At 42.3% G+C, this 26,829-nt stretch overlaps 1 protein-coding gene and 1 long non-coding RNA gene across 21 annotated transcripts in view; one reads left to right on the top strand and one right to left on the bottom strand.

The window, feature by feature from the left end:
- The window catches only part of TRPM3 (transient receptor potential cation channel subfamily M member 3), a 917,912-nt gene that overhangs the window by 882,734 nt on the left and 8,349 nt on the right, over positions 1-26,829 (top strand). For all 19 annotated transcript variants that reach the window (NM_001366143.2, NM_001366141.2, NM_001366142.2 and 16 more), the window contains 3 exons: positions 10,928-11,078; positions 11,195-11,394; positions 14,564-14,696. In NM_001366143.2, coding sequence (NP_001353072.1) covers positions 10,928-11,078; positions 11,195-11,394; positions 14,564-14,696 — 484 coding nt within the window. The remainder of the gene's footprint in view (positions 1-10,927; positions 11,079-11,194; positions 11,395-14,563; positions 14,697-26,829) is intronic.
- KLF9-DT (KLF9 divergent transcript) overlaps positions 13,745-26,829 on the bottom strand; it is a 136,304-nt gene continuing 123,219 nt past the window's right edge. For both annotated transcript variants that reach the window (XR_001746707.3, XR_001746710.3), the window contains one exon: positions 13,745-13,959. This is a non-coding gene — a long non-coding RNA (KLF9 divergent transcript). The remainder of the gene's footprint in view (positions 13,960-26,829) is intronic.

The raw sequence follows: 26,829 nt of genomic DNA, 5'->3' as shown, positions 1-26,829 counted from the left end.
GTTTGAAGAAGGAAAGAACTTATCTAATCCTATTTCGTATATGCAAATATCAAAAGGAAGGTGTAATGATGATGATGAGGCAAGCCCTGAGTAAAACTGAGTTAAACACAATTATTTCCATTCTTCTAACCCTTCCCAGAGCTTCCCTCTCCCTTCTCACAGCCCCTCCCTTCTCTGATGAAACTACTAGGCAAGGAAACTGATTCCTTCTGAAGTCTTAGCGACTATGTTCTCAACCAGAGAAAAATGTTGATTGTAAGAAAACAAAACTACACAGAGTAGGTTCAATAAAGACTGACTGTAAGTGCCTAAGAGAAAACCACAGAGGCATTCAAAGACAGGAAGCAGAGCACGACATGCGTGAGCTGACTGGGAACAAAACCAGAAGTGGTTTTGTAAAGTCAGAATCAGAAGACATGACCACACTCATCTGCTTTTCTCTATACTTCTCTCCTGCCTCAATCAATAATCAATCAATCATTTCTCTCTTTCTCTCTTGCTCTCTCTCCCATTTCCTTTCTCCCTTCCTCCACCATCCCTCTCTCATATGGCTTGCTTTACATGACCCAGTGAGGTCAGGCTCTATATGTTCTTTAAGTACATGCCATCATCTAACTTAAGTCTCTGCACTTCTGTTTTATTTCTAAACACAAAGAGTCTGATTAGTCACTGGCCATTCAATGAACTCACTCCTTCTTGGTCAATGGTGGAATCTGCTCCAATCATCTGTAGCCTGAATTGGGTGAAAGGAGAAGTGAAGAAATGAGGAAAGGACTTTGTCAGCCTGAAGGACGTAGGGCTACCTCTTCCAGCTGTGAGCAGGGCAAGGGAAATTTAGCTTGTTTATCAGGTATCTATCAACACAAAAATGATACAGGAAAAACCACCCTAGAATTCAGAACTTAACGCCATAAGCACGTATTGAGCTCAGAAGACTGAGAGTTGGCTGCATGGTTCTTCTGGTCTGGGCTGGGCTCAATCACCTGCCAGGAGGTCAGCGGGCTATCACCTCCTCCAGAACAGCCTCAGCTCAGAAAACAAGCACCTAGAAGCAAAGGTTCCCTGTGTTTCATTCTCCAACAGGCTAGCTCATGCATGTCTCTTATGGTAATGGCGGAAGCCAAAAAGTGGAAACAGAAACATTAAGGGCTTTTCCAAGGTTCTGTGTGGGTCACATTTGCTAACATTCCATTCACCAAAGCAAACCACATGGCCAAACTCAGAATCAAGAGGTGAAGAAAGAGATCCCACCTGTTTAGTGATAGAAACTCTAACATCACATGACAAAGCAGTGTGGATCCAGGGAGGGGAGAGAAATTGGGGCTGTTAATGCAATCGATCTCCTAATCATGACAGCAAACCCACTGGCGTGTACAATAGGCTAGTTTAGATATATATTCTTCCAAGGCAAGATTTGCATAAAATATTTCTGATATTAATTCCTGATGCAAAATAATGAAATACTAAGGTTAGAATTTTGAAGCCCTCTTCAAATAAATAATTTTTGTTTCCAGGTAAAGCTAGATATATAGGATAGGAAGAACATGGAACCAAGTAACAGGGAATTGAATTCTCCCCACTTCTCCCCCAGGACGCTCTTCCCCCCATACCTCCCCCCTGCCCAACACACACACAACATACCTAGATTTGCGACATCCTGCTAATTTACTGGATTAAAAAATGAGACATTGAGCTTAATAGTGGGTTCTGAATAGCTCAAAGCTGAAACTGTGTGCACATAGCAGATAGACCAGAAGCCAAGATGGCCCTGAAGAGTTGGAGGCTATATCATTGGTCCCTTTTTTTCCCCAGGTAGGGGCTGAATTCCATTTAATGCAGTGGGAGCTAGTTTGCTTTTCTACCAGGAATAAAAAGATTAAGGTTCTACAAGTGGCCTACAGTTGGCTCCTGGGATAGATGATTCAGTTTGGGGCAAATTCAAGTCTTTTGCTCCTTTTCCTGGAATCGTGGAGTGACAAAATATCAGGAATAGATGGAGTTTAGAGATAATCTAATCCAGCATTTCCCAAACTTCAGTCAACCACATACCCCCATTCACTAGTTTATAACCTTTGTTCTACTCTTAAATATTTTTTGTTAAATTGGCTCATTTTTTAGAAACTTAATTTATTTTTAAAGATTTAGGGTCACAAGTTGAAAATCAGTATCATTTGACATAAATAGAGGATAACCACAAAATAAACAGAATGAAAAACGCTACATTGTTGTGAAATTCTACCAGATGCTTGAGCTCAGTCTTTCCTAAAAAAGGGAATTTAGCAAACATTAAGGAAGTGTTAAAAGAATAGTATGCTTAAACTAACACTTTCTCTCTGATGGCGTCAGGAAGATGGAAAGAAGCTTGACAGTGTCATCCCTTACTATCTAGTTCAGTGCCATTTAATGCCCTGCTTGTGTGTCCTAAAGCCATCTTGGACTTCCCAAGCTGTGTGTCTGTTGCACTGTAGAGAATATCAATAACCCAACTCCCTTTGTTCATGGATGGAGAAACCAAGGCCTCCCACCAATTTCCAGTGGCTGCCTTTGCGCCATATCATTATCAGTTAGCATCTTACCTAGTGTTTGGGTTAGGTGAAGAGAAAAAACTTAAGCCACAAAAGAAGTAAAAGGGGATGCTAGTAGATGGTGCTTTTGACTCTAGAAAGTTGGGCTTGCCTGGTTTTCAGCGACCTTTGCTCTTCTTGTCCATTATAAGAGGATATTGGCAGTCACCTACTGAAAGCAATAGAAAGAGCCTCATGTTTCCACAGAGAAAACCTCCACCTGGACCCACCACAATCAAAGAGCCTCAGATAAGGAAACTTCTAGAAAGATGTAGCCATGCAAAGGGAGGCATCTCCAGTTGTCTTGCCAAGGAAAACGTTGTGTCAGGAAAAGGCCAAAGGGCAGCGTTATCTAAATCAAATTTGTCCTCCCAGTAAAGCCACAGCAGCTGTGCTAATGGCATTCTAAATCCTCCATGGCGAACTGTATAGATTTTCAAAAGGAGGTGGAGAAATCCTCTTTGTCTCGTTATCTTTTCAAGATGGATTTTTAGATGAAAATCCTTTCTATAAAAAAAATAGGATAAATGTAGTCAGATACTCAACTAAGCTCTTTATTCCATTGCTTGTGATTTGGACTGAGCTTTTGAAACATTTCTTCAGACAGGAGAGGAAGGGGCATTCTTCAAGAAATATCCTTTTTTGCCATATTTTTAAGGATGACTCTGATTATATCAAACATTGGTGTTCCATTTTAAATTTCTCTGACTTTTTAGGGACAAGATGGTGTGCATATTAAATAAATAAATACTTCTTTTCCCTGCATATTATAGGATGAAATCAACAGGGCAAGTGTCTTAATCTTTGGGGTGGAGGTGCCTGCCCCTGATACCTCTTACTTGAACCTAATTTCTCTCTCCACCCTCTGAACTTTTAAACTGTTCTGTGTACTCGTACTTCATCTGAACGGCTCAGGCCAAGTTATTCATGTTGATAGGGACAAGAATAATCAATGTCTAATGAACTGTTTCTAGATTTGTTCATAATTGAGAGATTCCTCTCAATCCCACGTTGGCTCCTTCTTCAGAGGCACCAAGGAAAGGGAATTTGTAGCTCACCAGGCTTTTATAGACATCCTGATTTTGTTCTTCCTGGCTCTGAGCTACCTGACAGGGACCCTAAAGTGTTCTGAGCCTCCCTACTTCAAATGTAAAATGGGAAACATTAGACCTATCATGTCAAAATATGGTAAAGATTAAAATGAGGTGATATACGTAAAGCTCATAGCACAGGGCCTTCCATTTAAGCCTGCGGTAGGTGGCCACTAATATTACATTGGCAAGGCCATGTGAGGTAGAGCAGAATACATATAGACTTCAGGGTCAGACAGAGGGTAGTGCCCATTTCTGCTTTATTTGTAATTGTATCTTCACTGCCAGTTGCCACTGGCACATAGCAGGAACTCAGTATTTTTTGGATATATGGAATGGTTCTGGCATTATCCCCTTATTAGCTGTGTGGTCTTTGGTAAGGCATTTCACCCCTCGGCACATGTTTCCTCAGCTGTAAAACAAGGACAATGCGTTTCTTACAGAACTGGTAAGAAGATGAAACACAATGGCCAATGTAATGTGCCCAGCATGGAGATTGCCACATAATATGCTTTCCACAGATGTTTATTCCCAAATCTCCACTCTCCTTCACTTTTGACGATCCCACATAAGGAAAAAACTAGGACCAGGATTTTCTGGGAAAGCACCATTTTTAAAGCTATCTTTTAAAATACACAGGGGGCAGGGTCCTCAGGTCCAGGATGTATGTGGGGGAATTCCACAGCCCTCTCAGGATGGTCCCTCGTCACAAGTATCAGTGTCTGAAATAAGTAGGATGTCCTATTCTGACCCTTTTTGGTTCCTGGGCAACTGTGAGGTGGTATAGGGCAGGTACTGGCCAGGCCATGTGGGCTTGAGGAGGCTCCTGAAAAGAAGAATGTCACTGATCTTTCACCCCAGACCTCACATTCCCATTTCTACTGGGACTGAGAGAAAGGTCCCTTCTCTTGCGTCAATTTCAGTTGGTTGGTGTGCTTTCAGGAGTTTTGTCTTGAGAAGGTTTCCAAGGTCACATCTTGGCTCAGAGGGAAAAAACATCAAGATTAATTGGCAACGTCTGTCATGGATGCAAGATGGGGTATTGTTGGTTTGCCATGGAGATTTACACAACAGCATCTAGAGGGAGATTTTCTATAGCTTTTGTCAAAGACCAGACCTATTGCTTTAACCTTGGCAATTACCAAAAACCAAAAACCAAAAAATCTATTTTTTCCCTCTGTCAGTTTTTTGCTCTCACAGGAGCCACCCTATATTGACAGGTCATGATGATACTTGTTGAGGTCTTGACATAAACAGGAAAATAGACACCCAGTGAAATAGAGGAGCTGTAACTCACAGAATGTGGCCTGACATTGCAGGTCACATGTGCAGTGTGTGACATCCATGTCTGCAGGCATTCAGCCATTGTTTATTGAGCACCTACTATGTGCCAGGTAGTGTTCTAGAGGCTGTTTAGTGAACAAGAGAGACAAAAATCTTGCCCTGTGAGGCTTATATTCCAGCAAGGGATGTCATTGACTTGTTATTATAAAAGTTTATGTATGAAAAACATTTCAACCATTGGAAGGCTGTGCTCCAAAACCCCCCACAACATCTATAGGGAGGGCTTTCTTACTATCATCCATGTACTTTGGCAGAATTCTACCTGAACAACCTGTTAATTTGTTCCAGAGCCCAATCATCTATTTCTACTTATTAATGCATAGTTAACACAAATAGCATTTCCAGGCTTCTGCCATGTGATGTGTCAATGTGACCCCCATAAGTAAACCATAGAGAATCTGAATCTCCAAATGTTTGATCCCTTCTAATTTGCCACTGCTGCATAGATGTAGCCTTCCCATTCTGTACCTGCACGTGACTTTGAGGCCCTACGACTTAATCTTAAGCTATGACCAGCTTCTAGAATAAGTTTTCTTCACTTTAACTTTGGCCAGGTGCTTGGCCAAAGTTTCCCAGCTGCATTAATCCTACAGGTTTGATAATAGGTCTAATCTGTGTCATTAGTTTCTGAGTCAAAGATCCCACTTGGACAAAATTCGAGCTTTATCAGTATAGGCCCTTTACTTTATACTTTGGGGAAGAAGGGGAGCAGCATGGCCTCTGGCTCCTGGCAATAATTCAACCTTGGTATCAGATCAGGTTTTACATCCCGCATTGCTCCTTCCAATCTTTCCATGCCATTCCAAGACTCCAAATGCAGTCTCTCAGCAATGAGGTGCCCAAAATATGAACATCTCTTATTACTGGCTTGTGGACAAGGGCTAGAGGTGGGGGTAATTGTATCAGTCAAGACTAATTACAAGTAACAGAAACCCAATTGAAATCGACTTAAGAAAAAGAATCGCATGGTTTTTATGACTATAGAAGGCTGGTTTTAGGCATGGCTGAGCCAGGAATCAGTTTCTGTTCTCTGTGATAGAGTCACTCTTGGGCAGGCCTTCTCTACTTGGTAGCCTTACGTTGTATTGTGAAAAGAGAACTTCTCTTTTATACTAGTTTCAACAAAAGTTCCAAGGCTGATGCTTATTGAGCTGATTGATCAGGTGTGGGTCACATGTCCATCCCTGAACCGATCACTGCAATCAGGGAATAAAATACACTGATTAACCTTCTCCTAGATTTGGCATTGAAGTTCATTTCACCCGTACTTCATGGACTGAGACTGGACAAGGGGTGGTTCCACAAAAGGAAACTAGGATGGGGAAATATACACTGGGCAGTTGGAACCAGTCAATATCCACTAGAAGGACTCTGTACTGACTGTCACCATGAAAGAGGGAGGTGACAACATGCCACTTGGTATGGAGGTGGTACTGACCATGCATTTGCCTCTTGCAAAAGGACTGAGAGAAAAGCCACCCAAATGTCAGGTCCCAAAAGCAAGGAAGGAGGAGGCCCAGGGGAAGTCACCAGCCTACGTTTCCTAAACATCCACCCATGTGCCATCTTGGGTGCATGTCCCGGGGGCATTTCTCTGGGAACATAAATCTCCAGATACTGGTTGGTGCTATATGACATTCCAGATAATTTATTCCCCATCCTGGAATCTGCTGCTTATCAGGGTTTTAAGGCACCAGTTCATCTTCATCAGTGGTAGACATCTGTAAGCTTGAGTCATAGCACTTTTTAGGTTGGTAACTACCCAGAACAAGGACATCATTAGAAACCATTATAGAACAACATTTTGCATTAACTGCTGCATATAATGCTCTTTCTTTGCTGATATTACCAAATGAAGGCTATTTCTTAACTATTCATTTTTACCATCATCATCATGGTAACAAGGATCATCTAATTCACGGATATTGCCGTTACTGCTGTAGAAACTAGATAATGTTCCTCAGGCTGGTCCTGACTACCAGACTGCTCTGTATGGCCAGGCTAGAGGGACTATCACAGTTCAAATGTGAGTGCTTCCTCAGAAACCCCATCCAAGCTCATATCACACAATAATGCAAAGCTTTGTACCCTTTCTATGTCTCTACCAAATTACAAGTTCTTTAAGAACAGGAAGCATCTCTCTAATTCCCAATATACCCTGTATTCAGCATATTATAACCACTGAATACATGTTTGTAGAGTAAGCGCTATTCTTAGTGATTGCAAAACAAAGGGGAATAAAACATAGTTCCTGAGAAGCTCAAAGTCTATCAATTACAGAAATAAAAATACCAATCATGACTCAGCTAATGTTCATTGAGTGCTATGTGCTAGATACTGAACTACATACTTTGCATGCATTATCTTGTGTAATGATCTTGACAGTACATTACTTGACAGTAATATACCATTATTACTCCCATTTTACAGATGAAGAAGCTAAAGTTTATGGACAAAGCTAAAGTCAGATCATTTGAAAATGGCAGAGTCAGGGTTTTGAGGGGGGTTTTTGTTTTTGAGACAGGGTCTTGCTGTGTCACCAAGGCTAGAGTCCAGTGACACGATCTCAGCTCACTGCAACCTCCACATTCCAGGTTCAAGCAATTCTCCTGCCTCAGCCTCCCAAGTAGCTGTGACTACAGGTGTGTGCCACCATGCCTGACTAATTTTTGTATTTTTAATAGAGACAGGGTTTTGCCATGTTGACCAGGCTGGTCTCGAACTCCTGACCTCAGGTGATCCACCCACCTCGGCCTCTCAAAATGCTGGGATTACAGGCATGAGCCACTGCACTCAGCCAGAGTCGGGGTTTGAACATAATACATGTTCCTAACCACTAAATTAATACTACCTCTGTTAAAGCAGGATGAGTAAAAGGTGGGGGAGGCTGGAATAAATTAATACCCAAAAGATTGGCAGGAGGTTCCCGGCGCCAAACAAATCAAATCTTCAATAAAGATATTAAGTTTCTCAGGAAGGTACATAATGTTAAAAAAAAAAAAAAGATATTAAGCTGGTCCAATATTTTAATTAGTGAGGGCCTTTGAGGAACCAAGCAGAGGAACTCAGCAGAGACCTGGAAATATGTTGATGGCACTTTCTGAAAGTCCATGGAAATGCACATGGACCACTTGAAACAAGCAAGCACCTACTGTTCCTTGTTTCCTCTCTCAGCTGGGCACAAGGGCCCAAGTGGAGGAAGTGTCTTCATGGCCTTCCCTCAATATAGGGTCAAAAAGAGCAAGATAAATGAGCTCTGCCTCTCACAAGTTTATTTTGTATTCTCTCAGAATAGTCAAGAAATGGAGATCAGGGAACACATTTGTAAAAATCATGTAAGTTCTCTAACTTAACCCCAAGCAGTTATTTCTGCTCTTTGTTGGCGTCTACACAGAGATCTGAGCAGGAGCCAGAGGAAAGGGCAGAATAGAGGAGTGACCAGCCTACTAGACTGTTAGGCTGGGAGGGAGTGAGTAGAGTAGGTGCGAGAAGCTTCGCAGAGGAGAGAAAAACAAAGCAATGGTTCCATGAGGCCTGTGGCCAAGTGGGTAGCAGAGACACTGAAGTCTGGTTGAGTGTAAGAAGATTCCTTGCCAAGCTGAGGGCAGGATTTCTGGAAAGAACCTAAGAAAGGAGCTAATGACCCCTCAGAGCTAGGACTATGCATCACAAGTAGGCCTGCGGAGGTGTGGGAAATGTCTATTAGTGTCCAACAAGATTGTGTCCCCATGATCTCCTGTATTTATGCAACATTCGTCCTGTACAGGTGCATGTGGATGTGCTATGTGTATGCACTGAGCCAGATGATGGGAAATCTTGAGGAGCAACCTTCCACCAGGAATCTTGTGTGGAATACAGACGAATAAACTGGCAATGGTGACACAGTGTGAGAGACCCCCAAAAGGGCAGGCAGAGGGTGCTCTGGGATTGTAAGGAAGATACCTACCCAAGTCCTTACTGGATGGGGCAGCAAGGGAGCTGGGTGGGCTTTGGAAAGCCAGGTGAGCACTAAAGAGTGAGCAGGATGCACCCAGGTGAAGCATGGGAATGGGAGCAAGGTAGCAGAGGGGTCTTTTAGAAGCCAAGCAGCAGCATGGCTCAAAATCAGGAAGTAAGAGAGCGCATGGCATTTCTAGGAACTGCAGGAAACTCAGTCCAGTTTGTGCTCAGAGGGAGAGGTGGGAGGTGGCAAGACACGGCCCAGGGCCAGGCACTCTCAGAGTTTGACTTCATGCTGAAGCCAGGGGGCCTTCATTGCTGAGTTTTCCTTCTAAGGGTGGAAATGATCAGGACCTCTTACAGGGCTGTCTTGGGTGTTTAGTGCCACAACTGCAATAATAAAAAAAAGATTCTTGCTCCTCAAAAATGCCTGATTCTGCATCCAGTCATCTTGGCAGGCAGAACTAAAGGAAGCACTTTGGTCCTCTTTTCTTAGCCATAAAAACCAGGTCTTGGTGTCCTAATGTTATTAAAATCCTCATAGGCTGAGAAGATGCATTTTGGGCCTCAGAGCATGTCAAAAATTACATAATTTTTCCAGCCTAATTCTAGCTCAGTGGGCTCAACTTTCATGGCAATTGAGAATTACCTAGAAAGTTTTAAAAGAAATGCTGATGCCTGGGGCACCCTCAGGGATTCTGATTCAATTGTCTGGAGCCAAGCTGGGCATTGGTATTTTTTAGAGCTCGCCAGGTGATCCCCAGGGCAGCCAGGGTTGAGAATCACTGTAGAATGTGCAGCCTAGCAACGGAAACTCTTGAGAAAGGAATGGACGCCTCTTGCCAAGTACTCCAGCCGAGTAGATTCTGGGTCAACTTTTCAAATCTTCCTGGCCGATCATCAAAGCAGCCTGTGGCAACTGCTGAGACCTCTTGGTGCTCCTCCCACTCCCCCCAACCACCTTTTACAGGTAGATGTAAAGAGCCTTGTTCTAAAGCCATTATAGGGGGCTGGAGAGGAGGGCTACCTCACCCATGCCTGGCACCTCACGGCATCATCTGGCTTCCTGAGCCACATTGTCTGTGCAGCACTAAGAAGCTTTGTCAGGGATTTTTTTCTTTCTTGCATTTACCCGGAAATTCCAAGCAGGCCTCATTAGCACATTACTCACACACAGCCAATCCCACATATCACCTTCCTCCTCACCCCCACCTCCAGGCTTTTTTTTTCCCCCCATTTGCCCATTTATCCACTGCAGTTAGGTTTTGTTTCCTGTGCCCTGAAAAGCACACTTTTGGAATGGAAATGCTGCTGGAAGAACAGGTGTGGCTATGAGCTCCATGATCACGGCCGATCACCCCTCATTGCCCTCCTAATGAAATCCCATCCATCAGGAGCAGAGAGCAACAAGCCCTCTAAATACTTCCCAAGGCACTGCCCTGTGTTGTTCCTTCTGTACTGAGACAGCAAATCGTTAGCTGGAGCTCCCAGGTTGTTTCTTGCAGCAATTAACAGCTGCCCTGTTGTTAATTCCCGATCAATAGTCCCGAGATGCTGCTGCTCTTACAGCTGTCAGGCTGACAGCCTCTACAGCACATTTTGAAAGTAACTTGCCAGTGGTGGGACTTTCTTCTCCCTGGGCACACCCAAGAAAAGTTCTCAATCAGGCTTCAGAAGAGCACCAAGTGCCCCTCACCCGGTGTAGGGGCCTAGCGGCAGTGTGAGCAAGAAGGTGGCTCCACCCCCCTCTTCTGGTCAGGTGATAACTTGGGGAGACTGTGGAACCGAGGCCCCCCACCACCACAGTAGCAGCCCCTTGAGATATTCATGAAGCTCTCATTTTTCAATTTTGGCTTGTTTGGAACTTTTTTCTGTTTGAGATGGCTATATATTTCTTCCATCTAAAACCCTCCTACAAATCCATCTTTTTATTTTTTTTCTAACTCAAATAGCCAGTTTCTCATTTCTTGTGTGTGTTGCTCCCTCCAGCTCCCTGTGGACAGAATGAGACCCGAGAGGATGGTAAAATAATCCAGCTGCCTCCCTGCAAGACAGGAGCTTGGATCGTGCCGGCCATCATGGCCTGCTACCTCTTAGTGGCAAACATCTTGCTGGTCAACCTCCTCATTGCTGTCTTTAAGTAAGTGGGTCCTTTGGAGCACGTGGGATGGATGAGGACAGCAGGGGTGAAGGGGAGTCGATGCTTCAGAAAACAGTGGGTTTTTCTCACTTGATTCTCTTTGGTCTCTATTTTAGCAATACATTTTTTGAAGTAAAATCGATATCCAACCAAGTCTGGAAGTTTCAGAGGTATCAGCTCATCATGACTTTCCATGAAAGGCCAGTTCTGCCCCCACCACTGATCATCTTCAGCCACATGACCATGATATTCCAGCACCTGTGCTGCCGATGGAGGAAACACGAGAGCGACCCGGATGAAAGGGACTACGGCCTGAGTAAGCTTCAAGCGACAGCCGAGCTGCCACAAATCAGAAATCCCTACCACTTCCTATAGGCAATCACGCAGAATCGCATGCCCACCTAGTTCCTCCTACCTCTTGCAGGCTGCAGACAGCTCTGAAGGCTTGGAGAGCATTGGGGGATGAGGGAGTTGACTTGAATGAGAAATAATGTCAGAAAGAAGATGGTAGAGGCTGAAATTGAGCACTCTTAGCCTCATGTCTTTCTTAGAGAGATACAATCAGTCTCCAGCAGGGCTATTTTAGAACCTTCATAAGTTCTAAGTTTCTTGCTTTCCAGAGATCTCAACCCAAAATACATCAATGATATTAATATGCCACCCAAGGCTACATTATATATAATTTAAGCAATAACTTCTGGACCTATAATTTTTTCTGATCTTAAACATTTTCCTAAACCTTAGGGGTTGTGCCTAGATTGCCTCATGAGAAGACCAGCCCAGCTTTCTGTTACTCGGAGGACAAAACAGAAGACCCTTCACCATCCACCTTCCAGCCCAGTGTTTCTAAAAGGAGGTTCTATTAGCATTGAGGCAGAACAATTCCTTGTTGTGTAGGATTGTGCCACACACTGCAGGAGGTTTGGCATATCCAGCCTCCACACATTAAATACTGGTGACTCCCACAGATTCCTAAATACCCTTTGGGTACCACGCTCCATTAAGAACCACTGGGAATCCAATCCCATACCAGCAAGCTCCTATGGTTTCTCAAAGTGTGTCAAACAGGCCACCTACATCAAATCTACTGAACAAGAGCCTCTGGGATTATAGCCCAGGAGTCTACTTCCCTCTGTGTGGTCACCAGTATATCTAAGGTTTGAAACCAAAACGATTTGGTCAACAGCTTCTCTAAATCTGAAGCTCTTAACACCCTCCCTGACCTTGCAATGCCCAACTTCTTTCTAGACATTTACATTAGAGAGACCTGGGAATTCCAGAATTCACTGCTTCCATCTGAAACACAAATTTAAGCAAAGAGAAAAGTTGGAGGGGTCGGGGTGGATGACCTATGAAATAAACCCTAAGCTTCTCGACTCAGGAACTCTAGCCAATGTGGAGGAGCATGGGATACAAAATCAGGGGCAGCGGGATGCTCTAATGAATGATAGCCTGCAGTGGATAACATGCTGAGGGCTAGCTCAGAGTCCCAAAATAATTTACAATACAGCATGAGTCATTTGTGGTAGAAGAGGAACCTCACTTATCCAGAGAGCTTAGGAAGGTGGTGTTTGTAAATACAATGCAGGAAGTAGGATGGTCCAGAGATCCATTTCCTTTCCAGTGCCCACCCCCTCAAAGAAGGCCAGAGAACCTGAATAAGCCAGACATTGGGCTAGATGGGAGCCAGCTCCATGCAGTTGCTGTTCAGGGTTTTCTTGTCGTTATCACCAATGGTAGCAACGAAAGCATTGCCAGGTTACTGGATGCTCAGAAGGGAGGAACAGCCATGTCTGCTTTCTCAGAGAAGAAAGATTTTAGTGCTGTGGCTGGGTGGAAAAGGGTGAAGGTCAGAGACAAGGGCCCTGCATTGTATGAATCAGTCGGGGAAACTGAACTTTTCACTATCCATCTGTAGCCTTAATTAAAAGAACCCAGGGCACTGCCAAGTTCTGGCAGAGGCTCAGACAAAACACTGAAATGTACAATTTAATTTTTATTGTTAAAATTTGACGTGTTAATGGAGTTTTAAAAAATAGTATTTTATTTTTGTTAAAAAGGCGTTACATATAGCCAAAGAAGTTAAATGAAGTGCCAGCAGAATAAGTGTTAAATATACTCCTTTGAGTCTCAAATATAGCAATAGCATAGCAGCAATAGCAATCATCTGTGCTTTGAGGGCCTCTCTAAACTGCCTCTTTTCTTTCCCCTCCCTCGAGACTAATGCTCTGTGTAATTTCATGAGTGAATCTCAAGTGTTCCCTGTGATACAGGTCTTCCTCACCTCAGGAAGCCTCCCATATTTGACAAGAGCAGTCTAATTTCTGGTATTTTCTTTTCTCTCACCTGCTTTTACATTCATACTTTCCATGCCCCAGGCAAATTCAGGCTAATGTCCCAAAGCAAGCAAGAGCCACCTCAGCAAACTAAATCCCTGAGGGTCCAAAATCCAGGGCTCCAAATATTTGGGACAATCCCTATCACATCTCGAGGGCATGGGATTAGAAGAATGACTTGTCCCATTTAAGAACTGGCAAAGCAGTTCTCTCCCCATAACCCTGATTCATAAACTACTTAAAGGTTCAATTTTCCACTGGGCTCTTTCTACTGCTATATCAGTTATGAATCCATTTACCTTCTATTAACAGAAACCAGGCTAACAATAATGCAAATAAATAAGGCTTTATTTTTCTCACTTAACAAAAAATGAAGAGCCCAGAGCTCAACAATGGCTCATTGAAGTCAAAGATCCAGATTCCTTCTATTTTTTAGGCTCAGCTATTCCTTTTGTGCTTTCTTGTTTCATGGTCACAAAATAGATGCCTCACCTCCAGTCATCACATTCATGTTCCAGGCAGGAAAAAGAGGAGAAGGTGAAAAACTGTAGAAAGAAGCAACCACATGTCTATATTTTATCAGGAAAGTAAAATCTCTTCCCAAGACACCACTCCTCCCTGCAGCAGACTTCTTTTGTTTCTTGGCCCAAACTGGATCCTCGTGGTTGCTGCTAGCTTCAAGGGAAACTGGAAATGTTTGTGTTGGGTTTCTAAGCTCAGTAGCAGGAAAGGGAAAAAGGAGAATGAGGTTGCAAAAGGGCTTTTAGTAAGGCCAATCAACAATGTCTCTCTGCCACACCCCCAGCCCAGAAGTTTTTGAGCTTTTAAGATACTCTAGGCTCTGAATAGCTTCCCTTTCCTTGATTTAGCTTTTTCCCTGGCCTCACAACTTGCCTAATTCTACTCAGCTCCTGCAGTAAACCAGATATGCTCAGGTGAACTTCAGAGACCCATAATAAATTTCATGTTCAGAAAGAAGACAGTGATGCAAGTTGCCTAATTGGATTTGGATTTCATTTGAGACTTAACAAGGAATCTAGGCCCCTTTTCCCACCTAGATTTATACTGAGAATGTCACTAGGCCCACAAATCAGATGCCATCGCTTTTACTTCTCTCCCTCAAGACTTCCTTTTTTTTTTTTTCCACAGAACTCTTCATAACCGATGATGAGCTCAAGAAAGTACATGACTTTGAAGAGCAATGCATAGAAGAATACTTCAGAGAAAAGGATGATCGGTTCAACTCATCTAATGATGAGAGGATACGGGTGACTTCAGAAAGGTGTGTTCTGTGGACACCTGCCTCCTGCAGATGTGTTGTGCCAAGGCATGCTTTATCCATCGAATTTATTCACACGGTCACAAAACAGAGATCTTTTGTGTTTGTTTTTATTGTCTGAGAAATCATGGAGCTTATGAGAGAACAGAACATTGCCCAAAGTATCTATAGATCAAAATCCCAGACTTACAGATCCTAGACTTCTCTAGCAGGCAGTAGCAGCTGTCCTCCCAGACAGAAGAGAATTTTGAGTGCAGGACAGGCCTGAGGTTGCTGGCTCAGATCAGAAATTGGGAAGTTCTGTTCCAGGCAAAAACCAAATGAGACTCAACCTGACTCTAGGCTCTCCATTAGTTTATGTTTTGTGTAGACTATTGCACGTCTTTTCCAGAGGAGTTGAACAGCCCTAGTGCCTGCCTTATATGGGTGCCCAACACCTTCTGAATAAATGACAGTAACAGAATTGTAAATTAGCTAAAATAATAATTAGGATTTTTCCCCAGAATTGTTTTGTTTTTCCTTTTTATAGAACAAGATGAAAGCAAAAAAAAATAATAAAAGCAGATTTTTCTACTGAATGGTTATATACATTTAGATCTCATGGGCCAAATAGTATAGCCAGCAGAGCTATAAGAAAAATCTTCAGTCTGAAGGATACACCTCAGCGTATTAAAAAGAGAGAGAGAGAGAGAGAGAGCACAAGATCTTCAAATAAAGAGAATTATTTAAACCTAGTAAGTCTAGCTTTATGAAAATACACTGACATTTTCTTATTTTTCTTATTTTGCTGTAGACTAATAGAAACTTCATTCCAGGCTGGCACATTCAGAACCTAGCATTTGGGAACCACTGTTCCGAAGAACACCCAGAATATTACGAAACATAGGTGTAACTTTAAATTTTAAGCATTTGCAATAGAAAGATGGCAGAAGCAAATTAGAAATAGTGTAGAAAGGCCTAACATATTGACGACTTTAGTCAGAATGGCTCAGGCTTTTAAGATTCAAGGCAGTCACCTCCAGTTTTTATGAAATGACATTTTGTCTGCTCATCCACTTCAGACTTCTCCAGTGGCTCTGTAGGAATTACCTAAATGGTATATTTTGTCCCTGGCCCTTTATTTCTTTGAAGAATTCAGTCTATGTAAGTAGGTATATACACATATGCCATTAAGTGATAGTATCCATCGGTACTCAGCCAATACTAATAAAGTTTAAAGCCATGCACAGATTTTATACACATCTGTTGCTGCAAAATAGACCATTTTATGATGATATAACGTAAAGCAATTTTCTGGCAAACAGAAGAAGAAACTAAAAGTCTGAAGATATTTCTCATTCTGAGACCTTGAGAAAGCTATTTATTAATGGACATATAACCATGTGGTTCCCCGGAAATTGTTCTATGTGGACACATTACCCATTGCTCAGACATGTTTACAAAGCATTTGTCTACAGGCCTTTGAAATGCTTTTTAAATTCAGAAAAGCCATAGACCTGGAGGGAAAGAGAGGTAGGGAAAAAAGAGTGTTAAGATGCAAGGAAGGCTTTGCCTCCCTGAGGAACTAGAACGAAGAGGTGCAGGCACCAGCACACGTGAATAAATTGTGACCATTTCACTAATTCTTTCTGAAAAGAAACAAAAAGAAACTATAGTACATCCACTTGAGCCTCTGGCCCCATGCCTGCAAACCCTTTAAGAATACTCCTTCCCCAAGGCCCTGTTCCTTTCTGGGTGATTACAGAGCTCCATCCTCAAAGAGGATGGCCAAGGTGAGCAACTCTCAGAAGTCCAGGACAGAATGTAGACCCACCTTCCCTGTGTCCTAGGCTTTAGACTGACCTTCTGGAGTAACAGGGGCCTGAAAGACCAAGATGACCTCAAGACCAATCCCAGGTGCCAGAGAAACAAACCTAAGCCAGGCTTCATTCTGCTGCTTCTGTTTGTGTGGGTTTTAGAATTTAAATGCTGTTGTTGTCATTGTTGTTGGGTTTTTTTTTTTTTTTTTTGCATTTGTAAGTGAACCAAAGATAATGTCTCTCAACACTGAAATTGCACTCGCAAAACAGAAACACCATGGGATGCACAAGGGAACAGAGATTAACCAAGGGAAGAGTAGATCCATATTACCAATCTCAAACATCTTCTAGAACATGTCCTTTCTGAGTGGAGTGGCAGGTGAAATCACCTGTCTTATTTACATTTGATTGAGCAAGAGAAAGGGGTAGAGACATATACACATATGTATATGTATGTATATACACACATTTGGAAAGGTATATATGGTTAAATTTACCTAAATTAGCTGTGTATATTCTATACAGTGTGTAGATTATATAATTTTACATTCATATTAGATAACCCCAATAACAGAGATTTGAAATCAACAACATTAAGAGATGCCTTTTTGTCCTACTAAAAGACTTAGGAAAAGGAGTTTCTTTACAGAGTGAGATTCATACTCCTCCTCCTGCCACTGCCCTAAAACACAAGTTATTTATACACGTTGTATTTGCGTGAGTCTTCTTAGAAATACAAAGATGCCCCCATAATTATCCATTTAAATGGATCATTATTCAATCACACTTTTGCATCACAGTGGTATGTAAAGAGCTAAATACAATATTCAGGAGATCATTAACACCTCATAGGAACCTGATTCTGAAAAATCCTTGTCTTTCCCTTTTATATAGCAATGACCCTGATGCATCTAGAGCAATACAATTCTAGAATATAATGCACCAGTAGAGTAACCAATGCCCTCTGCTTTATTTGGGACAATATCTAACTAATGATAATTATACTCAAATAACCAAGCTTTTCATCTGTTATGCAACATTGGTGACTGGCTTTTTTTTTTTTTTTTTTCCGATGAGGAGTTGTGGACTCTTGGCTGAAGATAACCAATTCTTGAAGCCTGTTCTATCAAATGTTGTGCTCACTATCTTTTTATGAGTTCAGTTCTGTTTCAACATGTGAATACCAGGCTTTCACCATTGCCAGGCAGTAAGCCACGCACTAAGGATCCACAAGGCAGGCCTCAGTCCTCAGGAAACATGCAGCCTCATTGAGCTTTTGTGTGCATCCCAGCAGGGATGACCAGAAACATCCAACCCAGTGGTTCTCAGTCTTTAACAGGTCTCAAAATCATCTGGAGGGCTTGTTACAACACAGGTTGCTGGGTAGCCCCCTTCCTACCCCTAGAGTTTCTGTCACTAGATCTGCAGTAAGGCCTGAAAATTGCACTTCTAAAATGTTTCCAGATGATACTGATGTTAATGTTGATGCTGCTTGTCTGGGAACCATACTTTAATAACCACTGATGAAAACCAATGGACAGCTTTAAGTCCAAACTTGGCAGAGGATGGTGCTGAATTATTCACTGTGGAGCATATAAAATCCTGGCATCTTACATTTGGAAAATGTTCTGGAAGTCACTGAGTACAGATTGCTTGTACCCAAAGCAGTTGTTTCCTCCACACACCTGATCAATGTCGACTTAACAAACATGTTCTGAGCAACTGGCATGAGCAAGGCCTGCATAGGAGGAGGTGATATAGGAACTCTACTTTGAAAGAATGCATTCTCTGGTTACACCCAACCTTGATTTGAACACCTCCTGGAAAAGAGAAGAAACTGCCTATGCTACCAGTCTTAGGAATGAATACAGGAAAAGACTTTTCTCTCTGAATATTAAGGCCGGGTGCAGTGGTTCACACCTGTAACCCCAGCACTTTGGGAGGCTGAGGTAGGCAGATTACCTGAGTTCAGGTGTTCGAGACCAGCCTGGCCACCATGGTGAAACCCCATCTCTACTGAAAACACAAAAATTAGTCAGGCATGGTGGCAGGCACCTGTAATGCCAGCTACTTGTGGGAGCTAAGGCAGGAAAATCGCTTGAACCCGGGAGGTGGAGGCTGCAGTGAGCAGAGATCGTACCACTGCGCTCTAGCCTGGACGACAGAGCGAGACTCCACTTCAAAAAAAAAAAAAAAAGAAAGAAAATTAAAATTCTTTTCTCTCTGAAATAATATTTTGCATATGTGAAGATCATTGTCATCTCCCCACTGTGCTGTGTCTTTTCCAAAGTAAATATCCCAAGATCATTTCATTGCTTATCCTGCTTTCCAGCAGATCATCTACTACCCTGCTCACTTTCTCAGTATGCACTTTAAATTGTCAACATCTTTTAAACGTGGTGCCTAAGTTAAACTCAATTCCCTGTGTTGTTAGAGCCTAGATTTAATTCCTTTATCCATTCATTTACTTTTTTTGAGCACCTACTATGTACTTGACTAGTACATATAGAGTAGGACAAGGAGTTCTCTCCATGGTATAACGGAAAGAACACAGTATAATGTGCATAATATAGTATAACAAAATTTTAATACTAATTCTGCAATAACTAGCTATGTGACCTTGAGCAATTTACTTAACTCCTCTTGAGCAATTTACTTAACTCCTCTTAACCTATGTCCCCATTCATAAAATGGAGTATTAAGACCTAACTATAGAGTATTAAAAGTTATTGAGGGGCATATATGAGGTATTATGCTTTCAATAAATGGTGATGATTATTATTTTTGACCTACACATTAGGTATGCTATAAGATTATATTACTAGTCTTAGCAACCAAATAACATCTTTGGTTCAGAGTACACTTTCAATGAATTCAACCAGGGCTTTTTTACATGAACTGACTCAATATCCTCAAACTTCTTCTTGTGAAATGTTTGTTCTAACCTAGAATCAAGACTTAGTATTCATTACTATAAAATTTTTCTTTTTTTCCCCCCTTTAGATCATTATTTCAGCACCTCAAGTAATTTTGGATCCTGATTTTTTCATCTAGTATATTAATTTTTCATCCTATGCATTTTAGGCCATCGTTTGTTTGATAACCACACTTACTATATCTTAGACATGGTTCCCCAAAATGCTCACAAGCACAGATCAGGTGAACTAAGTCAGAGGACCACTGCATGACTCCAAAAAATGTCTTTCGTGACATCAGCTCATTGCTCTACCATCTCTCCTTTGGTTAATTAGCCAGCTAAGTATTCACATTTCTCCAGGTGGCCCCGCATGTCAATCTCCTGGCTAAAACCACAATGTACATCACAGATATTGATCATCTATATCAATATATTGGTCTTGATTATCAGAAAAGGGGCAAGATTAATAATGATCTCATGCAGTCTCCTGTTAACTAACCTTATCTTTTGTAAGCAATCAAAAAATACCGTCTGTTTAATTACCTACTACTGAGCCATTTTATAATGCTGCCCAGAATTTGTGTCAAATTTACATAATTTCTAGAATCTAGAAATTTTAAATATCAGGAAAAGCTTTTATCTATCTCCAATTTTCTGGCATTTCTTTTTATTTCCCATTGGTTCTTAAGGGTTACCTACATTTTCTGGTGATCACAGTAGGGAGTTCTTTTCGGGTTCCTTTAACCCATTGAAAGCATACTTCAAAAAACGGTGGCTTGTGGGCAGCATCTGCCCACACAGGGCTGTTTTGCTGGACTTGCAGTGATTGTTAAAATTCATCCTGAATAAGTCTTTGGACTTGGCATGCTCTCCACTGCCACAGAGTGAGTCCCTGCGTCAATCGTCTGACATCCTGCCTGCTGTACCTACATACTTGATCTGCCTGCCTATAGGCATTTAATTCCCAGACTCTTGATGAAAGCATCCAGATCATCCACCATCACCCCACCTACCAGGCTTCACTTGTCAGAAGTTTGAGGTTTGAATTTTCTCCTTGATGGCAACATTTAAGCAAATGCAAGGATTTAGCAGTATTCCTAGTGTCATCTTTTAATCTAGTATTCTTTCCCAAGGCAGTAAGTTTTTTGCCCTTTTTCATTTTACCTAGATCCAAAAAGTGACAGAAACATAGCTATTACTAGTATATTCAAAGCCAGGCACAGAAAGACAAACATCACATGTTCTCACTTATTTGTGGGATCTAAAAATCAAATCAATTAAGTTCATGGACATAAAGAGTAGAAGGATGGTTACCAGAGGCTGGGAAGGGTAGTCGGGGATTGGAGAGGGGATGAGAATGGTTAATGGGTACAAAAAAAAATAGAAAGAATGAATAAGATCTGCTGTTTGATAGCACAATAGGGTGACTATAGTCAGTAATAACTTCATTGTATATTTTTAAATAAAGAATGTAAATGGATTGTTTGTAACTCAAAGGATAAATGATTGAGAGGATAGTTACCTCATTCTCCATGATGTGCTTATTTCACATTGCTTGCCTGTGTCAAAACATCTCATGTACTCCATAAATATATACACCTACTATGTACCCACAAAATTAATTAAAATAAAAGTCAGAAAAAATAGTATGTTCAACTTATAATTTTTCATAACAATGGCAGAGAGAAATGACTTAGGATATATAAAATTCATAAGTAATATTTTTTTAAATCAGTGTAAGCCAAAAAGCTGAGCTTCATCCACCTCCCACCGTATCTTTTTCCAAAGCTGATCTTTGGTCTCTCCATTAACTGAGTTAAGTTTAAACTTGTTTCTCTTTTTCTCCCCAGAGTTAATGAGAAGGATAATTAACCCAAAGGGAAGGGTAGGTGACCCCAAAGGACTTAATAATTCATAGATTAGATATCAGTCTGTGGATAAGCAAGAGTTTGCTTTAGCTATTCTGCATCATTGCCTTTGATTTGAAACCTGTTTACCCTTTTCCAACAGGATAGAGTTCATGCAATACGGGATTGCTTTTGCCCTCATCCTACATGCACCCCACTGCCAGCACTCAGGGAATGTCTGAAATTTAGAATAGGCATGGCCTGCCAATACTCTGTTATTTTACCACATTTCCTTTCACCACATTTCGAGGTTATCAGAAAAGCAGATAAAGTTCCATAAAATAGCATAACAATTCTTAAGAAATTGCATGTGGAAGCCAAAATGTTCTGTGCCACCATAATCTTCTTTTGAATGCTGTTTTCCTTATCTCACTGGCTGAAGAAGCTAGTCATCATCTTACTGGGGTTTTGCACCCACCCACTGGGCCTTCTCTCATGGGTCACCCAACAGCTTTCCAACACTCCATTGTGTCCCTGCTCTGATCACTACTTGAGTTATTCAGAAATGAGCCATTCGAGGTCTGGAGATATGAAAGAGGGAAATTTCAATAAAGAGTTCCTCTCATAGCATCTCTTCCTCTCTGCAGTGCCTCTTTTTTTCTTAGTCACTGTAGGAGTCTGTCTCCTTAAATTATCCATAAATTTTTTATCATCCATATATATCTCCATTTTTATCCCACAAATTCTTTGATCAGAATCAGTTCTCAGTGACTACAATCATGACTCAAAACTCTTGGTATATACCTCAGGCCTGTTTATATCTGTGACACCTGCCCATTTACATTGAACTTTGTTTTGTTTGAGATAGGGTCTCACTATATCACCCAGGCTGGAGTACAATGGCGCCATCTGGGCTCACCACAGCCTCAGTCTCCTGGGCTCAAGTGATCCTCCTACCTCAGCCTCCCGAGTAGCTGGGACCACAGACATGTACCAGCACACCCAGCTAATTTTTTATTTTCGTAGAAACCATGTCTCCTCATGTTGCCCAGGCTGGTCTGAAACTCCTGGGCTCGAGTGATCCATCTGCCTTGGCCTCCCAAAGTCCTGGGATTACAGGTGTGAGCCACTGTACCCAGCCTCAAAAAAATTTTTTTAAAGATTAAAGGAAGGCCAGGTGCAGTGGCTCATGCCTGTAATCCCAGCACTTTGGGAGGCTGAGGCAGGCGGATCACCTGAGGTCGGGAGTTCAAGACAAGCCTGACCAACATGGAGAAACCCCATCTCTACTAAAAATACAAAATTAGCCTTGCATGGTGATGCATGCCTTTAATCCCAGCTATTCAGGAGACTGAGGCAGGAGAATTGCTTGAACCCAGGAGGCAGAGGTTGGGGTGAACCGAGATCGCACCACTCCACTCCAGCCTGGGCAACAAGAGTGAAACTCCATCTCAAAAAAAAAAAAAAAAAAAGATTAAAGGAACCAGTCTAGTTATGAAACAAACACAGGTAACCTTGACTCTAGGACTTTTTATTTCTTTTATAGCCCCTATATTAAACCCCTATCAGCTAGGTCCATGACCTAAGTGATCACACATTTCATGGTAAGTTTGTTGAACACACCCAGCATTCTGGGAGAAAATGGAGAAAACAGTCCATTATTGTTTTAGTCAAGTCTTACATTTCAGCCCATCTCAGAGCCCATAGGACAGTTAAGGTTTGACAAGAATAGTTGCTTGGCCCTGTTCCAACAGGCCTCCCTCCCCTGGTTCCATGCCCTGCAGCCATCCTTCTTCACTCTTGGGGCTCTCACCATGTACCTTCTCTCTTTCCCTGAAGAGACTCTTCCTCCTGTACCTTCTCTGCTTTCCTCTCATCTCCTTGGGCTACTACTCACTTTATGTGTCCAGTTTACTGCCTACGTCCAGGCAACCAGGTTCTGATTCTGGACCAATGCTGAGTGCAGTGACTCCTGCCTGTGAAAATCCCAGCACTTTGGGAGGCTGAGGCGGGTGATCGATCACTTGAGATCAGGAATTTGAGACCAGCCTAGGCAACATGGTGAAACCCTGTCTCTCCAAAAGTACAAAAATTAGCTGGGTGTTGTGGTGCATGCCTGTGGTTCCAGCTACTCAGGAGGCTACAGTGGAGGATTGCCTGAGCCCCGGGAGGTCAAGACTACAGTGAACCATGATCGTGCCACTGCACGCCAGCCTGGGTGACAGAGTGAGACCCTGTCTCAGGAAAAAATAAAATAAAAATAAATACTAAATAACAGGAGGCAGGATCTCCCTATGTTGTCCAGGCTGTCTGTAGTGCTGGGGCACAGTCATAGCTCACTGCACTCTCAAACTCCAGGGCTCAAGCCATCCTTCCACCTCAGCCTCTTGAGTAGCTGGGGCTATAGGGACACATGGCTTTTTAGGTCCTGACTCTTCTGTTACGTGTTTTTGGTGCATCAGCTCTGCCTCTCACCTACAAATTTTCTCTATAGTGTTGGATCCTGGGGCTGAAGGTCAGGGGTGGGATGTGGACAGAGAAGACCCCACAGCACAGGCCATGGCAAGGAGATACTTCACAGCACTCAGACCAGTGACTACGGTTAGGTCAAAACAACAACTTCATCTCTGTCAGTACCAACATTGTACACACTGGGCTCCAGAGAGAAAGGGAGAAGGAGAAATAAACCTCCCCTGCCTCTTATTACTCTCCTAGCACTAGAGAGCTAGTGAGACCCAATACCTAAAGTATGTTAAGCAAAACATCTCGTGCTACAGAAATGCATGATCTATCCTCCTCTGGACTTCAATGAACAAGTACTTTATACACTTAACAAAGTTTATTGGCCAAGTGCAGTGGCTCATGCCTGTAATACCAGCACTTTGGGAGGCCGAGGCGGGAGGATTGTTTGAGCCCAAGAGTTCAAGACCAGCCTGAGCGATATAGTGGACCCCAGCTCTATAAAAAATGTTTCAAAAAATTAGCTGGGCATGGTGGTGCTCACCTATAGTCCCAGCTACTTGGGAGTCTGAAGCAGGAGGATCACTTGTGCCCAGGAGGTTAAGGTTGCAGTGAGCCATGTTTGCACCACTGCCTTCCAGCCTGGGTGACAGAGTGAAATCTTGTCTCAAACATAAATAAAGAAATAAATATAACAGATTGCATTGTAAAAAATTTAACTACAGTACTTGCAAAATCAAACTCCATAGGCTAGATAGTGAAAAAGTAATTCCAAGTCTATGAGACACACAAACTTGTTATTGTAAGTAATTTTGTTTCTTGGGCTATGTTTATAGGACAGAATGAAGTGAAAGAGGGAAAAGCTGTATTTTCCTTCTGAATTAGCTGTGTCAGCTGAGTGCATGGCGTTGAGTTTGCCAGATACAGAATAGCTCAATGTACAAGTCTTCTGGGAATACACCTGGGGATGGTGGCAGAGTGTGCCTGGCCCCTGAGATGCATTGGGTTGGTTATGGGGCAGCAGGAGGGAGCAAAAAAAAAAAAAAAATTACAAGCAGGGCTCTTGAGGGCAGGCTGGGACCTTTGGCTGGGTGAAGGGAAGCTGAAAGATAAAAGCAGAGTCGGGGTGGGGGGTCCTGAGAGAGGCAGAAATGTGCCCCAAGGCAGGGGAGTCACACCCCCATGCTCCTGGCCAGCAGGAGAGGAGGTTTTTAAGAAGTCTATAGGTCTCCCAGAGATCCACATGCCTCTTGTATTATATAACCTGCTTCTGGCATTGAAGTGTATGTGCTTCCCTAATAGAAGTGTTGCTGTCATTAAAACCTCACCACCACCCCCACAGACTGCAGGGGCCCAGCCTAATTCCCACATTCACTGTGAAGCATATTCTGTAGCCATGGTCTTCCTGCAGCAAGTGCCTTAAGAATCAGCAGTCAAATGATTTACTTTGCATATTGGAAGGATTGGAAAAAGTAACTTTAATCCTCTTCAGCAAAGTTGTGCATGGGTCTCATTTAAATTCACCAAAAGGTTTGTCTTTGGACATTTAAAAGTGAAAGTTTGAGCTCAAATTGTAACTTGGCTTTGGTTTGTCCTTTCCAAGTTAATTTGAGCAAGTGAAAAATAAGGTATGATTTTATTTTTAATATGTGGCCTCTGTCTTAAATGGCCAGGCAGACTGAGTGACAATTGAAATCAAGTTCGTAAATGTCATTGACCCATTTGTTGACACCTGGCAGGTATTAGGTTGGCCACATAGAAATGAAAACAGGAATATGAGACAAACCATGCCCCTAAGAATTTCCAGGGTTCACACCTGTGATCCCAGCACTTTGGGAGGCTGAGGCACGAGAAGCACTTGAGCCCAGGAGTTCAAGACAAGCCTGGGCAACACAGCAAGCCCCTGTCTCTACAAAAAATTTAAAAAACAGCTAGCATGGTAGCATCCACCTATAGTCCCAGCTACTAGAGAGGCTGAGCCAGGAGGATCGCTTGAGTCTGGGAGGTTGAGGCTGCAGTGAGCCATGATCACACCATTGCACTTCAGCCTAAGTAACAGAGTGAGACCTTGTCTCAAACAAACTAACAAAAGGCAGGGCATGGTGGCTTACGCCTGTAATCCCAGCACTTTGGGAGGCCAAGGCAGGAGGATCACTTGAGCCCAGGAGTTTGAGACCAGCCTGGGCAACAAAGTGAGACCCCCCCCATCTCTAAAAAAGTTAATTTAATTTAATTTTAAAAAGAAAAGAATTTCCAATGGGAGGATAGAGAGTTCTAGCAATAACTGTAATATAAGGCATCTGTGATCAGCTAACCAGAGAGGGAGAGACAGAGAGAGGAGTAGAAGAATTGACTTATTGACAGATACTCCAATGTTTACAACAAATTGCTTTATGCAATCTTGGTTAAATTCTTAATTTTTGCTTTTCCTTTATGAATGAAGGGATTGGATTAGATTAGATCAATCCTGGATGCCTCAGTAACTGGGCCATATTAATTCCTTTGGAGACACAACATTCTAAAAAGATTATCATGAATAACAAAAATTATTGTATAAATGCAAAATAAAAATAACCCCCATCCATGGAATACTCATTTTACATGTGTATTGCAATAAAAATAGCTAGATTCTAAAATTTCATTGCAAAATTCTGGGTAAAATCCTCAAAATGCAACATTCTCATTTTGTGGGGGACCCTGAGAAGCCAACAACTGGATGCTTAGTCAGGTCATTGCACCCTGCCCCAAGCCACAGCTAGGCCATGGTGGACTTGGCCCCACTCTACTTCAATAAGAACTGTTCCATTTTAGTGCCTTTTTATCAGGACTGTGCATTCCATTTCATTGAGGGAAAAGGGGATTGATAGCTAAAACAATAAAAAATCATTGGATTAGATAATCTCTAAAGCCTCTTCTAGCTCAAAAAGATTTGAATTCTGTGATTCTTTCACAGCATCAATGTCATTCTCTCCTCCCCAACCCCTCTCAACACCTGTAACCTGTCTTCCATTGAAGGTACCAAGGTCAGGCACAGCTGTGATCCCTTTATCCTTGCTCTCTAAAGCCCCAGCAGAGGAACCAGGCCGAGTGACTCTCATTCTCTCTTCCTCGCG

This window comes from Homo sapiens, chromosome 9, assembly GCF_000001405.40.
Source record: "Homo sapiens chromosome 9, GRCh38.p14 Primary Assembly".
Taxonomy (NCBI): domain Eukaryota; kingdom Metazoa; phylum Chordata; class Mammalia; order Primates; family Hominidae; genus Homo; species Homo sapiens.
This window is presented reverse-complemented; position numbering and strand designations above follow the sequence as displayed.